Genomic DNA, 16168 nt, shown 5'->3' with positions numbered 1-16168 from the left:
CCTCCCCTCCTCAACAGCTCTTTTCCTTACATCCACTCCTCCATCCTCCCCTCCTCCTCGCTCCACACACCTCCAACTCCCCAGGAATCCTGCCCTCAATAACACTTCTTTTTAAAAAAAGAATGACACTATTTTTATTAAACCATTATCCATTTTTTAAAATGATAGTAAAATATATGCAACATAAAATTTACCATTCGAGCCATGCACAGTGGCTCATGCCTGTCATCCCAGCACTTTGGGAGGCCGAGGTGGGTGGATCACCTGAGGTCAGGAGTTTGAGACCAGCCTAGCCAACATGGTGAAACCGTGTCTCTACTAAAAATACAAAAATTAGCTGGGCATGGTGGTGCATGCCTGTAATCCCAGCTACTCGGGAGGCTGAGGCATGAGAATTGCTTGAACCCAGGAGGCAAAGGTTGCAGTGAGCCGATATCTCGCCATTGCACTCCAGCCTGAGGGATAGAGTAAGACTTTTTTTTTTTTGTCTCCGAGAAAGTATCATTTGAACCATTTTTAGTGTGCAGTTCAGTGGCATTAAGTACACTTTCACTGTTTTGCAACTATCACCATCCGGAACTTTCTCATCTCCTCCCACTGAAACTCTGTCCCCATGAAACTCTCACTCCCCATCCCCCTCAGTCCCTGGAACCCACCATTCTACTTTCTGACTCTGTGAATCTGACGGTTCTAGGGACCTCCTGTGAGTGGAACCACGTAGGATTTGTTGTTTTGTGTCAGGCTTATTTCACTGAACATGATGTCCTCAAGGTGCATCCGTGTTGCAGTTTGTGTCAAATTGCTCCATGCCCTTTTTTTTTTTTTTTGAGATGGAGTTTCTCTCTTGTTGCCCAGGCTGGAGTGCAATGGCACTATCTCAACTTACTGCAACCTCTGCCTCCTGGGTTCAAGCGATTCTCCTGCCTCAGCCTCCCGAGTAGCTGAGATTATAGGCACCTGCCACCATGCCTGGCTAATTTTTGTATTTTAATAGAGGCAGGGTTTCACCATGTTGGTCAGGCTGGTCTCGAACTCCTGATCTCAGGTGATCCACCCACCTCAGCCTCCCAAAGTGCTGGGATTACAGGTGTGAGCCACTGAGCCTGGCCAGAATACTCCCTTTTTAACAACGTATTGCATAATTTAACACCTGCATCCCAAATGTCAACTATGCAGTGTTTAACTGATGAATTCATTTTCATTTGTTTTAATCCTCTGAATATATTCTCCTTATTTTTTAAAAAAATCAAACCATGGCGGCCGGGCGTGGTGGCTCACACCTGTAATCCCAGCACTTTGGGAGGCCGAGGCAGGCGGATCACGAGGTCAGGAGATCGAGACCATCCTGGCTAACAAGGTGAAACCCCGTCTCTACTAAAAATACAAAAAATTAGCCGGGCGTGGTGGCGGGCGCCTGTAGTCCCAGCTACTCGGGAGGCTGAGGCAGGAGAATGGCGTGAACCCAGGAGATGGAGCTTGCAGTGAGCCGAGATCGTGCCACTGTACTCTAGCCTGGGCGACAGAGCAAGACTCCGTTGCAAAAAAAAAAAAAAAAAAAAAATCAAACCATGACAAATAAAACCCACTTCTCCTCCAGTCATCACCTCAACTCTGTCTCTTTTCTCCCTCTCTGGACGTTCTTATGCTTTATGGCTGGAATATTTCTTTCTAGTTTTTTCTTCCTTCATTACATAATAGGTCCCCCACTGAAAATATATGACATTGGTTTCTGGGGCATTTTACGTAAATGATGTAATGCTTGACATGTTGGTTACAACTTGCTTTTTTCGTCCAAATTGTGTCTTGAAGAACCGGCCAGGTTACTATCTGCTGTGCAGCCTCTCTCTTTGCCCTGCCTAAAAGTGTTTCATGGTGCAGATACATCCCAGGTCCCCCAGTGATGGGAACTTAGGTAATTTCCAGTCCCCCACTGATGGACACTTAGGTTGTTTCAGATCTCCTTTTGATGGACACTTGGATTGTTTCCAGTCCCCTATTGATAGATAGGTGGATTGTTTCCAGTCCCCTTTGGATGGACACTTATATTGTTTATAACAGTTTTATTGAGAGATAATTCACATACCACACACTTCACCCATTTAAAGTGCCCTGTTTAGTGGTTTTGAATACATTCACAGAGTTATGCAACCATCACCTCAGTATAAGTTTAGAACTCATTTTCATCACACAAAAAGAACATTTTCATCACAGTCCCCCATTGATGGACACTTAGTATGTTTCCAGTCCCCCACTGATGGATATTTAGGTTGTTTCCAGTCCCCCACTGATGGACACTTAGTTTGTTCCCAGTCCCCCACTGATGGACACTTAGTTTGTTTCCAGTCCCCCACTGATGGACACTTAGTTTGTTTCCAGTCCCCCACTGATGGACACTTAGTTTGTTTCCAGTCCCCCACTGATGCCTGTTTAGGTTGTTTCCCGTCCCCTATTGATGGGCACTTAGGTTATTTCCAGTCCCCCATTGATTGACACTTAGGTTGTTTCCTGTCCCCCATTGATTGACACTTAGTTTGTTTCCAGTCCCCTACTGATGGACACTTATATTGTTTTCAGTCCCCCATTGATGGACACTTAGGTTCTTTCAAGTCCCCTTTTGATGGACACTTAGGTTGTTTCCAGTCCCCTACTGATGGACATTTAGATTGTTTATATATAACAGCTTTATTGAGATATAATTCACATACCACACACTTCACCCATTTAAAGTGCCCTCTTTAGTGGTTTTGAGTACATTCACAGTGTTACACAACCATCGCCTCAATCTAAGTTTAAAACATTTTCATCACACAAAAGTAAACCCTGTGCCTATTAGCAGTCTCTCCCTTTAGCCCCTCCCTTCTGCCCCTGGCAACCACAAATCGACTTTCTGTCTCTATTGATTTGCTACTTCTGGACATTTCCTTTAAATGGAGTCATGCAATATTGTTCTTTCATGTCTGGCTTCTCTTAGCAGAATGATTTTAGGTTTCAACCACATTGTCACATGTTACAGGGCTTTACTCCTTAATAAGGCTGAAGAATATTCCATGGTACAGACATCCCATATTTTGCTCTGCATTCATCAGTTGATGTTTCCAGTTTCTTGCTAAATAGCATCTCATACCGCTGTCCTGCTTACGCTTAAGGCCATTTCTTTCCAGCAGGGTTGCTGGGTCACAGGAAGTGTGTATTTTTAATTGAGAAAAACACACACAGTCTCTCTGCTCTTGTCTTTCCTCCCACTCCTCACCTCTTTCTGGTGTGAGCGGATGTATTTTGGTCACAGCAAGATTTTCTTGAGTGTGTGCTGGTTTGTGGCCACAACAGCCTCAACCAGATTGCAGGGCTAGTGGGTCCCTTCGCTCAGCATCGCTGGAAGTCCCAGGGGGCTGGGCTGCCCCTGATGGCAGATGCCTTCTGCAGACATTGATGAGTGTGGGGAGATCCCCGCCATCTGTGCCAATGGCATCTGCATAAACCAGATCGGGAGTTTCCGCTGCGAGTGCCCCGCAGGCTTCAACTACAACAGCATCCTGCTGGCTTGTGAAGGTGCCACCTCTCCCTGTTCCCAGCCCTGGGGCCTGGGTGGGATGCATGTCCGCCACTGTGCAATCTGGGCGAGTAACTAAAACTCTGTAAGCCTCCATTTCCCTGTATGTATAATGGGCTAACACCTTTCCAAGGGCCTCCATCTCATATAACCACCCTTACTCCAGCTCTGGCTGCTTCCAGAGAAACCACCTGCTCCGAAGCAGTGGACTGGGTTTCACGTTTGATTCTGTCAGGATGGGCTTCTCTGTCACCCCCACCTCATTTGCTGTATTTTCCCAGATGTCGATGAGTGTGGCAGCAGGGAGAGTCCCTGCCAGCAGAATGCTGACTGCATCAACATCCCCGGTAGCTACCGCTGCAAGTGCACCCGAGGGTACAAACTGTCGCCAGGCGGGGCTTGTGTGGGTGAGCAGGGTCCCTGGGAGGAGGTGAGGGAGCTGGGCTCTGTCACCCATGGGGACTTAGATGGGGTATGGCTCTGTCCAGGTCTTTCTCCTTTTCTATACTATTAGGGGGGTGGGGGATGTATTGAGAGTGTCTGTTAATAGGATGTGATAGAGGTGAGAGCTCAGGTCCATGCAGACAGCCTGACGCCCCTGGTGGAAGTTTGAGTGGGGAACTTCAAGGCAGATTCTGGCTTCCCCATTGCAGTAGGGAGAGCTCAGGCAAACACTGTGGTAGGAGCCCTGGGAACACCATGCTCTCTGCACCCCCAGGACGGAATGAGTGTCGGGAGATCCCGAATGTCTGTAGCCATGGTGACTGCATGGACACAGAAGGCAGCTACATGTGTCTGTGTCACCGTGGATTCCAGGCCTCTGCAGACCAGACCCTGTGCATGGGTGAGACCCTTATCTTCCCCCTCCTTTTCAAGCCAGGCTGCCTGGGGTCTAAACCTCCCCTGGGATGGAAGTGGTGTTTCTGTCCATCCTAGTTCACAAAGAGATCCAAGTTTGGGTCCTGAGATTAAGATCTTGGGTAAATGGTTGATCTGCCTCCCTGTGCCTCAGTTTTCCCATCTGTAAAATGGGGGTGATATATCATACCAGGAGTACTTCCCAGCCATCACCGCCAGGGGTCACTGCCCAGTCATCTAGGCAGGGCTAGGTGCAGGGGAGGAGTGCTAGGTCCAGCTGGCCTCTCACTCCCCAAGTTCCCCAATGCCCTGGGTGAGCTGGGTTGGGCTCTCGGCTTTGCTTCTGCAGACATTGACGAGTGTGACCGGCAGCCTTGTGGAAATGGGACCTGCAAGAACATCATTGGCTCCTACAACTGCCTCTGCTTCCCTGGCTTTGTGGTGACACACAATGGGGATTGTGTGGGTGAGTCGGCTCAGGTGGCAGGCTGGCCACAAAGTGGGTTCTCAGAATCTAAGGAAGTGAATCTAGAAATTGGCCACAGAAAGATGCCCAGAAAGTCCCCGATTATTTAGAAATTAAATAACATACTCCTAAATAATCCATAGGTCAAATAAATCATAAGGAAAATTAGAAAATATTTTGAAGTAAAAGAAAATGAAAATGAAAGCATAACATATGAAAATACATAGGATGCAGCTAAGGGGGCACTTAGAGGCAAATTCATAGCATTACATGGTTATATTAGAAAATATCAGCAACTACCTCATAAGATAGGTAGAAGGCTAATATACATAGTCTATACATGAGTGCTCAAGTTGAAGCCAATGCTGTCAGCTCAACTCAGTTGTGGACAGAAGTACAAGGAAGGTTTGATCCCTTCAAGTTTTGTGGGTGAACTGGCCTGCCCATCTCCCCTCTACAGATTTTGATGAGTGTACTACCCTGGTGGGGCAGGTGTGCCGATTTGGCCATTGCCTCAACACAGCTGGTTCCTTCCACTGCCTCTGCCAGGATGGCTTTGAGCTCACAGCTGATGGGAAGAACTGTGTGGGTGAGTCTGCCTATGGTGCTCGGAGGCATCTCAGCCAGCCCCTGCTCCATGTACACCACAGTTTGGTACTTCTGGGTGAGCATAGATCCATTTACTACCCAAGCATTTATTTTAAGATTTAAAAAAAAAAATACCCAGCACTTTGGGAGGCTGAGGCAGAAGGATTGCTTGAGGCCAGGAGTTTGAGACTAGCCTGGGCAACATAGTGAGTCCTCGTCTCTACAAAGAAATTTAAATTAGCCAGGAGTGGTGGCTATTGCCTGTAGTCCTAGCTACTCAGGAGGCTGGGGCAGGAGAATCACTTGAGCCCAGGAGTTTGAGGATGCAGTGAGCTATGATCACACCACCGCATCCAGCCTGGGCAACAGGGAAAGATCCTATCTCAAAATAAATAAATAAATAAAATAATTATAAAATCAGCACATCAAACCTATGTTTCTATGTATGGGGTTTGTTGTGTAGGGTGAGGCTGTCTTGAAAATGTAACTTTCCAGAAGCAAAGAATAGTAGAAGCGCTAAATAGATACCATGGAAGGAATCTGCTGGTGGTGCCAGATTAGGAATCTTGCTACCTCTTTCCACTGGACACCATCTGCCCCACCTATAACCCCACGAGAGTCAGATAATCCTTCCCCAGCTGTCCCTGTCGTCCTGAGTCTCAGCCCTTGCCCTGGAGCCAGAATTGCCACTGGGAGGGCTTGTCCTGGGGCCCTCAGTGATCACACAGTGATTGCAGGTGTTGGTCCCAGTCCCAAGTGAGCCCCCTGCATCCTGGCTGGCACAAGGACCTTTCTTCCTCCTTTTCACAGACACCAATGAGTGCCTCAGCCTTGCAGGAACCTGCCTACCCGGCACTTGCCAGAACCTCGAGGGCTCCTTCCGCTGCATCTGTCCCCCTGGCTTCCAGGTGCAGAGTGACCACTGCATTGGTGAGTGTCCAGCCCCACTCCCGTTTCTGGCGCCAGGGAGTGCCTCTCTTTCTCCATCCATAAAATGGGAATACCAGCTAGGGTTGTGATGAAGGTGGAGATGTACTTAACGCAGCGTCAAACACAGCTTCATAAACTATTATTGTCATTCTGATTGTTTCTGGACTCTGCACTCAGGACTTTGTCTCTAGTGCCCACAGGCTTCCTCATGAATCCTATAAATTGACATGGGTGTGGGGTCTCACCGTTTCTCAGTGCACCCAAATGTAGAGCTCCTCACTTGCTAACTGGAGATCAAGGACCAGTCTGGCCTAAGCTTCACCGGTGTAATCACCCATAGAGATGATTTCATGCAGTCTGGACTAACAAGTCTGGCCTAATCTCCTTTGGTCCATTTATCCACTTGGACTAGCCTCAGAGAGTGTGGGCTAACCTGGACCAGCCTGGGCTGAGCAGATGGGCTGCTTTGTTCACTGTGGTCTAACCTGGACCAGTCTGGCTTGAGCAGATGGGCTAGCCTGGGCTAACCTGAACCAGTCTGGCCTGAATACCTCTGATCCAGGCTTCCATCTGGGCTAGCCTTGTATAACCTGAGCTAACGTGGACCAGTCTGGCCTGGGCTCTTCTGATCTATCCTTTTTTTGTTGTTGTTTTGTTTTGTTTGTTTGTTTGTTTTTTGTTTGTTTTGTTTTGAGAGGAGTCTCACTCTCAGCTCACTGCAACCGCCACCTCCCGGGTTCAAGAGATTCTCCTGCCTCAGCCTCCTGAGTAGCTGGGATTACAGTCACTCATCACCATGCCTGGCTAATTGTTTATTTTTTTTGAGACGGAGTCTCACTCTATCCCCCAGGCTGGAGTGCAGTGGCACAATCTCGGCTCACTGCAAGCTCCGCCTCCCAGGTTCACGCCATTCTCCTGCCTCAACCTCCCAAATAGCTGGGACTACAGGCGCCCGCCACCATGCCCGGCTATTTTTTTGTATTTTTAGTAGAGACGGGGTTTCACCATGTTAGCCAGGATGCTCTCGATCTCCTGACCTCGTGATCTGCCCGCCTTGGCCTCCCAAAGTGCTGGGATTACAGGCATGAGCCATTGCGCCAGGCCCAATTTTTGTATTTTTAGTAGAAACGGGGTTTCACCATGATGGCCAGGCTGGTGTCAAACTCCTGACCTCAAGCGATCCTCCCACCTCAGCCTACCAAAGTGCTGGGATTGCAGGCATGAGTCACCATGCCCGGCCTATTCTGATCTATTCTATTTGGGCTAGCTTAGTACAACATGAGTTAACCCTGTCCGGTGTAGGGTAAATATATCCAGTCTCAGTTAGCTTTGTGCAATTTTCTTTTTTTAAGGTTTAAATTTTTTTTTTCTATTTTTTCTTATTTTAATTTCAATAGTTATGGGGGAACAGGTGGTTTTTGGTTACATGGATAAGTTCTTCAGTGGTGATTTCTGAGATTTTGGTGCACCTGTCACCTAAGTAGTATACACTGTACCCAGTATGTAGTCTTTTATCCCTCACCCCCCTCCCATCCTTCCCTGGGGGTCCCCAAAGTCCTTTATATCATTATTATGCCTTTGCATCCTCATAGATTAGCTCCCACTTATAAGTGAGAACATACGATATTTGGTTTTCCATTCCTGAGTTACTTCACTTAGAATAACGGCCTCCAGCCCCATCCAAGTTGCTGCAAAGGACATTATTTTGTTCCTTTTTTTTTTTTTTTTTTTTTTTTTTGGTGGAGTCTCACTCTGTCACCCAGACTGGAGTGGCACAGTCTCAGCTCACTGCAATATCCACCTCCCGGGTTCAAGCGATTCTCCTGCCTCACCCTCCTGGTAGCTGGGATTACAGGTGCGCCCCGCCACAATGCCCAGCTAATTTCTGTATTTTCAGTAGAGACAGGGTTTCACCATGTTGGCCAAGCTGGTCTCCAGCTCCTGATCTCAAGTGATCCACCAGCCTTGGCCTCCCAAAGTGCTGGGATTACAGGTGTGAGCCACTGTGCCTATTTCGTTCCATTTTGTGGCTGAGTAGTATTCCATGGTGTATTATATACCACATTTTCTTTATCTACTCGTTGGCTGATGGGCATTTATAAATATGATGGCTCCAGATTTTTGCGATTGTGAATTGTGTTGCTATAAACATGCATGTGCGTGTGTCTTTTTCATATAATGACTTACTTTCCTTTGGGTAGATACCCAGTAGTAGGATTGCTGGATTGAATGGTAGTTCTACTTTTAGTTTTTTGGTTTTTTTTTTTTGAGACAGAGTCTCGCTCTGTCACCCAGGCTCAAGTGCAGTGGTATGAGCTCAGCTCACTGCAAGCTCTGCCTCCCGGGTTCATGCCATTCTCCTACCTCAGCCTCCAGAATAGCTGGGACTACAGGCGCCCACCACCACACCCGGCTAATTTTTTTGTATTGTTAGTAGATGGTTTCACCATGTTAGCCAGGATAGTCTCAATCTCCTGACCTGGTGATCCACCCGCCTCCACCTCCCAAAGTGCTGGGATTACAGGCATGAGCCACCGCGCCCGGCCTTACTTTTAGTTCTTTAAGGAATCGCCACACTGTTTTCCATAGAGGTTGTACTATGTGCAGTTTCAGTCTCCAATCATGAACTATTCCTGACCATGACCTTTACTCTGGAGATGCCTTCCGGGAAGGACCTACGTGCACACACAATGCCCACCTCGTGCTGAAGCTCATACTGAGCTCTCAGGACCCCAGCCCCACTGCAGCCCCTGGCTGGACCTGCACTCCATCTGTCCCTTCTCACAGCTGAGTCCTCTCCCCACTGATGGAGGTCCTACTTGCCCCCCACCCAGCTCATGTCCCTGCCCTTCCAGATATCGACGAGTGCTCAGAGGAGCCCAACCTCTGCCTCTTTGGCACCTGTACCAACAGCCCTGGGAGCTTCCAGTGCCTCTGCCCACCTGGCTTTGTCCTCTCTGACAATGGGCACCGTTGCTTTGGTAAGTCCACACAGGGCTTAGGGAAGAGGGTGGGAAGTGGGGCGGGGAAGGGTCAGATTGCCCAGAAAAGAGGGCTGTGGTTTCTTGTGTGACCCTTTGGGAGCTCTGACCAGGCAGAGGTGTCTGTTTGCATTAGCAGAGTTATCCTAGTGCCAGCAACCTCTTGGCTATAGAGGTCATGTCTATGGAGGGCTAACCTGGTCCATTCTGAGCTAGGTGTGTGCTTATTTAGGTTTTCCTTGTATTGGTCACATGACTGTAGGCTGTCAATGGGCTGGTTTTGTCCAGTTTGAGCTAGCCTAGACTACTCTGGGCTGGCTCCGTTTCAGCTGGGCTAGCCTTGTCTACTGTGGGCTAACCTCACCCAGCTTGAGCCAGCCTGTTCTCTCACAGGTCAGGGGCAATAAGGGTGAGAGCAGAGCATGCAGTTCACCTCAGCGAATATTTGCTGTTCTGGGAGGCTGGGACCCCAGCCTGCTGGTGAGGACTTGATAGGTGTCCAGAGCCAAGGATTGGGGGTTTGGATCCTCGGGCTTTCTGGAATCAGTCGTTTTGCCTCTCCAGGAAGGGGTTTTTGATCCAAGAGTAACCACCAAGTTTGATCTTTCTTCCTGGCATGAGAACACCCCAAAGCAATGAAGTGGGGTGGGATTCCAGCTGTCCCCTCAAAACCCCAGGGCAGGCCAGGGGCGGTGGCTCATGACTGTAATACCAGCACTTTGGGAGGCTGAGGCAGGCTGATCACCTGAGGTCAGGAGTTTGAGACCAGCCTAGCCAATGTGGTGAAACCCCGTCTCTACTAAAAATACAAAAATTAGCCGGGTGTGGTGGCACATGCCTGTAATCCCAGCTACTTGGGAGGCTGAGGCAGGAGAATCACTCGAACCTGGGAGGTAGAGGTTGCAGTGAGCTGAGATCGTGCCACTGCACTCCAGCCTGGTCAACAGAGGAAGACTCCATCTGAAAAAAAAAAAAAACCACCACCACCACCAACAACAACAACTAAAAACCCAGGGCAGATCCTCATTGGCCCAGAGTAGGTCACATGTCCATACTCAAACCAATCACCATGACCAGGGGCATGGCATGTTCTGATTGGCCACTGGCAGGATCAGCACAACCCATTCACCAGGACTGGGGTGCGGGAGGTCACAGGGGCAGGTGGGCACTGCCAGCGGCTTTCAATCAGGGTAATGGAGCCCCCACCCCACAGACACACGGCAGAGTTTCTGCTTCACCCGTTTTGAGGCTGGGAAGTGCTCGGTGCCCAAAGCTTTCAACACCACCAAGACCCGCTGCTGCTGCAGTAAGAGGCCTGGGGAGGGCTGGGGAGACCCCTGCGAACTGTGTCCCCAGGAGGGCAGCGGTGAGTGCCCACCCCTGTCCAGGCTCCCTGGATGATGTGCCCTCACCTTCCTCTCTCATTCTTCTCTCATCCTTCCCTGCACACACCTGGGGGCTGCACCTAGGCCCTGACTCTGACTCCCCTCCCCCTCTCCGTCCAGCTGCCTTTCAGGAGCTCTGCCCCTTTGGCCACGGGGCAGTCCCAGGCCCGGATGACTCCCGAGAAGGTGAGCCCCTCACCCACATGCTAAGAGCCCCTTCTGGGCCACCCAGATCCATCTCCGCACTGCCTGGGTCTCTGAGTTTCAGGCTCCCCCTGAGAGCCTGGGTGGCCCTGGACCCTGCCAGCCTGGGGCTTGGGCTTTTGTCCCCTTGGGGCCTTGAGTGTGGCCAGGGCTCTGGCGATTGTGTGGTGACAGAAGCCATGTCTGCAACGCCTGCCATCCGCAGACGTGAATGAGTGTGCAGAGAACCCTGGCGTCTGCACTAACGGCGTCTGTGTCAACACCGATGGATCCTTCCGCTGTGAGTGTCCCTTTGGCTACAGCCTGGACTTCACTGGCATCAACTGTGTGGGTGAGTGGCCAGCCCTTCCCCAGCTCTGTCCCAGGCCCCTCCCAGGACAGGAAGGAGCAGAGCAGGGCAGGGAAGACACCCCCAGGCAGTGGGTGAGATCCTGTCCTTAACCACTGCCTCTCTCCCCCATTCACTTTTTCTCCCTCTGTGCTTCATTCACTCATTAATTCACTTGCTCACTCATTTTCTTGCTCATTCATTCACTCACTCACTTATTCATTTACTCATTCACTTATTCATTTACTGACTCATTCATTCACTTGCTCACTCACTTACTCATTTTCTCATTCATTCACTCATTCACTCACTCATTTACTCCCTTATTCATTCACTTACCAATTCACTCACTCATTCACTCCTTGGCTCACTCATTCCTTCACTTGTTCATTCATTCACTTATTAATTCACTAACTCCCTCATTCATTCACACGTCATTCATTCACTTGCTCATTCACTCACTTATTCATTTACTCACTTATTCATTTACTCACTTATTCACTCATTCACTCATTTGCCCCCTCACTCATTCACTTGCTAATTCTCTCACTCATTCACTCCTTTGCTCACTCATTCCTTCGCTTGTTCATTCATTCACTTGTTCATTCAATCACTCCCTCATTCATTCACACCTCATTTATTCACTGGCTCATTCATTCACTCACTCATTCATTTACTCATTCACTCATTCACTCGTTTGCTCCCTCATTCATTCACTTGCTTGTTTGTTCACTCATTCATTTGTTCCTTCATTTGTCTCCTTGCTCATTCACCCATTCAATCACTCATTTATTCATTTACTCACTCATTCCTTTGCTCATTCATTCATGCTTTCACTCACTTATTCAGTCACTCATTCGTTTCCTCATTTGCCCTCTTGTTCATTCATTCACTTCCTTGCTGATTTCTCCATTCACTCACTCAGTAATTCACCCACTCATTCACCCCTTTACTCACTCATTCCCTTATTCATTTAACCATTCATTCACTTACTCATTTATATGTTTTTTAGAGATGAAGTCTTGCTATGTTACCCAGGCTCTTTTGGAACTCCTGGGCTCAAATGACCCTCCTGCCTCAGTTTCAGTTACTGGTTTAATCACTCCTTCATTCACTGGCTCATTCATTCACTTCTTGCTCATTCACTCACTCCCTTGCTCACTCATGCATTCCTTTACCTGCCCACTTGCTCACACATTCACTCATTCATTCACTAAACACATACCGCTTGCCTGCCCCATAGCCAGACTAGAGGTGCATTCGATCTGGCCCCCTCCGATCTGTGGTGGTCAACAGGCAGGCAGATGGGATGCTACTGAGGATGGGGGACCCTCTGCAGGTGCTGACCACCCCCTTACTCCCACCCAGACACAGACGAGTGCTCTGTCGGCCACCCCTGTGGGCAAGGGACATGCACCAATGTCATCGGAGGCTTCGAATGTGCCTGTGCTGACGGCTTTGAGCCTGGCCTCATGATGACCTGCGAGGGTACAACTCTGCTTGCCCAGGACCTGGGCCGTGTGACGGAGATGCCTGGGGGAGGGAGTGGAGGTCCCGCCCTCAGTCCCTACCCAGCTGGCACCTCCACTGGCCTCCCCAGACATCGACGAATGCTCCCTGAACCCGCTGCTCTGTGCCTTCCGCTGCCACAATACCGAGGGCTCCTACCTGTGCACCTGTCCAGCCGGCTACACCCTGCGGGAGGATGGGGCCATGTGTCGAGGTAGGCCTGACTAATATGGTAAAACCCTGTCTCTACTAAAAATACAAAATTAGCTGGGCATGGTGGCACACGCCTGTAATCCCAGCTACTTGGGAGGCTGAGAGACAGGAGAATCGCTTGAACCTGGGAGGCGGAGGTTGCAGTGAGCCGAGATCATGCCACTGCACTCCAGCCTGGGCGACAAGAGCAAAACTCCGCCTCAAAAAAAAAAAAAAAAAAAAAAAAATCCTGCAATGCACACAGAACAGCCGCCCACCGCAAAGAACTTTCCTATCCCAAATGTTCATAGTGTCAAGCGTGGGAGACCCTGGTCTGGGACTCAGTGTCTCTGGGGCTGTTTCAGGGTCAGTGTTCCAGGGGCCATGAGCAGACTCACAGACCCTGACATGGGCAGGGGATGCAAGCTTTGGGGGACAATTCCTGATTCCCTCAGCTTCTTGGAGGCTGGGGCTGGGCAGGAGCTGGGGGCTCCCTTCCTAAGAGGGATAGACATTTGACAGGGTCTGCAGGGAACTCACTCAGGTCCCACAGGGCTGACGCAGGGTGGAATCCAGGTCCCCACAGCCATAGGGTGCCTGGCCTTGACTGACCATCTGTCTCTGGTCATCCGAAGATGTGGACGAGTGTGCAGATGGTCAGCAGGACTGCCACGCCCGGGGCATGGAGTGCAAGAACCTCATCGGTACCTTCGCGTGCGTCTGTCCCCCAGGCATGCGGCCCCTGCCTGGCTCTGGGGAGGGCTGCACAGGTATGGGGCACTGGAGCTTCATGGGTGCAGGAAACTCCTTGTGGAAGGGAGAGGTCAAAGCAAGAGGGTTGGACCGGGCACGGTGACTCATACCTGTCATCCCAGCACTTTGGGAGGCTGAGGCGAGAGGATCGCTTGAGCCCAGGAATTTGAGGCTTCAATGAATGGGAGGGACAGGCAGTGGGGGGGGACAGGCAGTGGGAGGGACAGGTAGTGGAGGTGACAGGCAGTGGGAGGACAGTGCCGCTGCACTCCAGCCTGGACGACAGAGTGAGACCCCATCTCCAAAAACAATAAAAATGAAAATAAGGCTGGGCACGGTGCCTCACGCCTGTAATCCTAGCACTTTGGGAGACCAAGGCGGTTGGATCATCTGAGGTTAGGAGTTTGAGAACAGGGTGGACAACACGGCGAAACCCCGTCTCTACTAAAAATACAAAAAAAAAAAAAAAAATAGCTGGGCGTGGCGGCGGGCACCTGTAATCCCAGCTACTTGGGAAGCTGAGGCAGAAGAATTTCTTGAACCCGGGAGGTGGACGTTGTAGTGACCCAAGATCAGGCAATTGCACTCCAGCCTGGGAAACGGAGCGAGACTCTGTCTCAAAAAATAATAATAATAATAATAATAAAAATAAATAAAATAAAAATAAGCAAGAGGGCCTGGGCAGATCCAAAGGGGCCCTTTGGGGCTGTGGGAGAGGCTGGCTGCCTGTGGCCTCCCCGCCCACCTGCCTCACCCCTCCCATCTCAGATGACAATGAATGCCACGCTCAGCCTGACCTCTGTGTCAACGGCCGCTGTGTCAACACCGCGGGCAGCTTCCGGTGCGACTGTGATGAGGGATTCCAGCCCAGCCCCACCCTTACCGAGTGCCACGGTGAGTGTGGCTGGACACGCACAGTGGTTGCAACCACCTACCATGTGGCACCCACTGCCTGTCCCCCCCCACTGCCTGTTCCCCCCACTGCCTGCCCCCTTCACTCCCTGTCCCTCCCACTGCCTGTTCCCTCCACTGCCTGTTCCCCCCACTGCCTGTCCCTCCCACTGCCTGTCCCTCCCACTGCCTGTCCCCCCACTGCCTGTCCCTCCCACTGCCTGTCCCTCCCACTGTCTGGGAGCCCTCCAAGGCAGGGACGGGGCCTGCGGCACTGACGGGCAACCCAGGGGGTTGCTGAGCTAATCCGGACACACATGTCCAGTGCTCCCCTGCTGCCCCTCTTCCCTCTGTCCCTTCTGTTAAATACTGGAAGAGCGGGACGCTCCCTCCATGCCTCCTCCAACTTACTGGCGCCACACCCCGGAACCAACCTTCCCCAGATCTCCCACTTCTGGGGAGCTAACCCCAGCCGGTGACCCACTAGGGCCATCTGTCCTGTGTATCCAACTCCCTCCTGGACACCCCTGTCCCCAACACCCCCAAAATACAGCTTGCCCCAAAGCAAGCTCAGTCTTTGCCCCCAAACCAGCCTCCTGGAGTGACCGTTGTCTTTCCCATTGTTCTCTGCAGACATCCGGCAGGGGCCCTGCTTTGCCGAGGTGCTGCAGACCATGTGCCGGTCTCTGTCCAGCAGCAGTGAGGCTGTCACCAGGGCCGAGTGCTGCTGTGGGGGTGGCCGGGGCTGGGGGCCCCGCTGCGAGCTCTGTCCCCTGCCCGGCACCTCTGCCTACAGGAAGCTGTGCCCCCATGGCTCAGGCTACACTGCTGAGGGCCGAGGTGGGTGCCCATGCCCTCAGGACCCCCAGGGAGGCAAGAAACGGGGGAGTTTGCTCAGGGTCATGTGTCTGTACTGCAGCAGGTGCTGGAATGTGTGAGCCACACTGTGTGTGTGTGTGTGTGTGTGTGTGTGTGTGTGTGTCTTTGTGCTAGCAGATATGAGAACCAGTACGTGTGCACCATATGCATGGAAGAACTCGGGGGGTTGAGGGAGCAGTTGTGTGAGCCAATGTGTGTGTATGTGTTCTGAGACAGAGTCTCACTTTGACACCCAGGCTGGAGTGCAGTGGTGCAATCTCAGCTCACTGCAACCTCTGCCTCCCAGTAGCATACCTGTCATCCCAGCACTTTGGGAGGCTGAAGAAGGAGGATTGCTTAAGCCCAGGAATTTGAGGCTGCAATGAGCTAAGATAGTGCCACTGCACTCCAGCCTGGGTGATAGAGCAAGACCTCGTCTCCAAAAGCAATAAAAATAGGCCGGGCACAGTGGCTCACACTTGTAATCCCAGCACTTTGGGAGGCTGAGGCGGCCGGATCACCTGAGGTCAGGAGTTTGAGACCACCCTGGTCAACATGGTGAAACCTCATCTCTACTAAAAATACAAAAAATTAGCTGGATTTGGTGGCGTGTGTCTGTAATCCCAGTTACTCGGGAGGCTGAGGCAGGAGAATCCCTTGAATCCGGGAGGCAGA

The 16168-nt window shown here is 50.8% G+C and overlaps 1 protein-coding gene across 10 annotated transcripts in view, besides 1 other annotated feature; it reads left to right on the top strand.

Annotated features, from left to right (window-relative positions):
* FBN3 (fibrillin 3) overlaps nt 1-16168 on the top strand; it is an 84191-nt gene that overhangs the window by 48755 nt on the left and 19268 nt on the right. For 8 of the 10 annotated variants that reach the window (NM_032447.5, XM_017027372.2, XM_017027374.3 and 5 more), the window contains 15 exons: nt 3424-3549; nt 3832-3957; nt 4269-4394; nt 4758-4874; nt 5335-5463; nt 6273-6392; nt 9248-9373; nt 10587-10739; nt 10879-10944; nt 11168-11293; nt 12659-12778; nt 12891-13013; nt 13627-13761; nt 14513-14638; nt 15269-15475. In NM_032447.5, the coding sequence (NP_115823.3) occupies nt 3424-3549; nt 3832-3957; nt 4269-4394; nt 4758-4874; nt 5335-5463; nt 6273-6392; nt 9248-9373; nt 10587-10739; nt 10879-10944; nt 11168-11293; nt 12659-12778; nt 12891-13013; nt 13627-13761; nt 14513-14638; nt 15269-15475 (1926 nt within the window). The remainder of the gene's footprint in view (nt 1-3423; nt 3550-3831; nt 3958-4268; nt 4395-4757; nt 4875-5334; nt 5464-6272; nt 6393-9247; nt 9374-10586; nt 10740-10878; nt 10945-11167; nt 11294-12658; nt 12779-12890; nt 13014-13626; nt 13762-14512; nt 14639-15268; nt 15476-16168) is intronic. The other 2 variants (XM_017027373.2, XM_017027376.2) reach the window with 2 other exon arrangements.
* Nucleotides 7466-7666: a silencer, noted in NCBI's record as "peak3327 fragment used in MPRA reporter construct". NCBI's record gives its function as "represses an SCP1 promoter by STARR-seq MPRAs in K562 erythroleukemia cells {active_cell/tissue: K562}" and the evidence as "EXISTENCE:reporter gene assay evidence [ECO:0000049][PMID:32103011]".

Source organism: Homo sapiens, chromosome 19 (assembly GCF_000001405.40).
Source record: "Homo sapiens chromosome 19, GRCh38.p14 Primary Assembly".
Classification (NCBI taxonomy): domain Eukaryota; kingdom Metazoa; phylum Chordata; class Mammalia; order Primates; family Hominidae; genus Homo; species Homo sapiens.
Note: the sequence above shows the minus strand (reverse complement) of the source record. Positions and strands in the feature narration are given on the sequence as shown.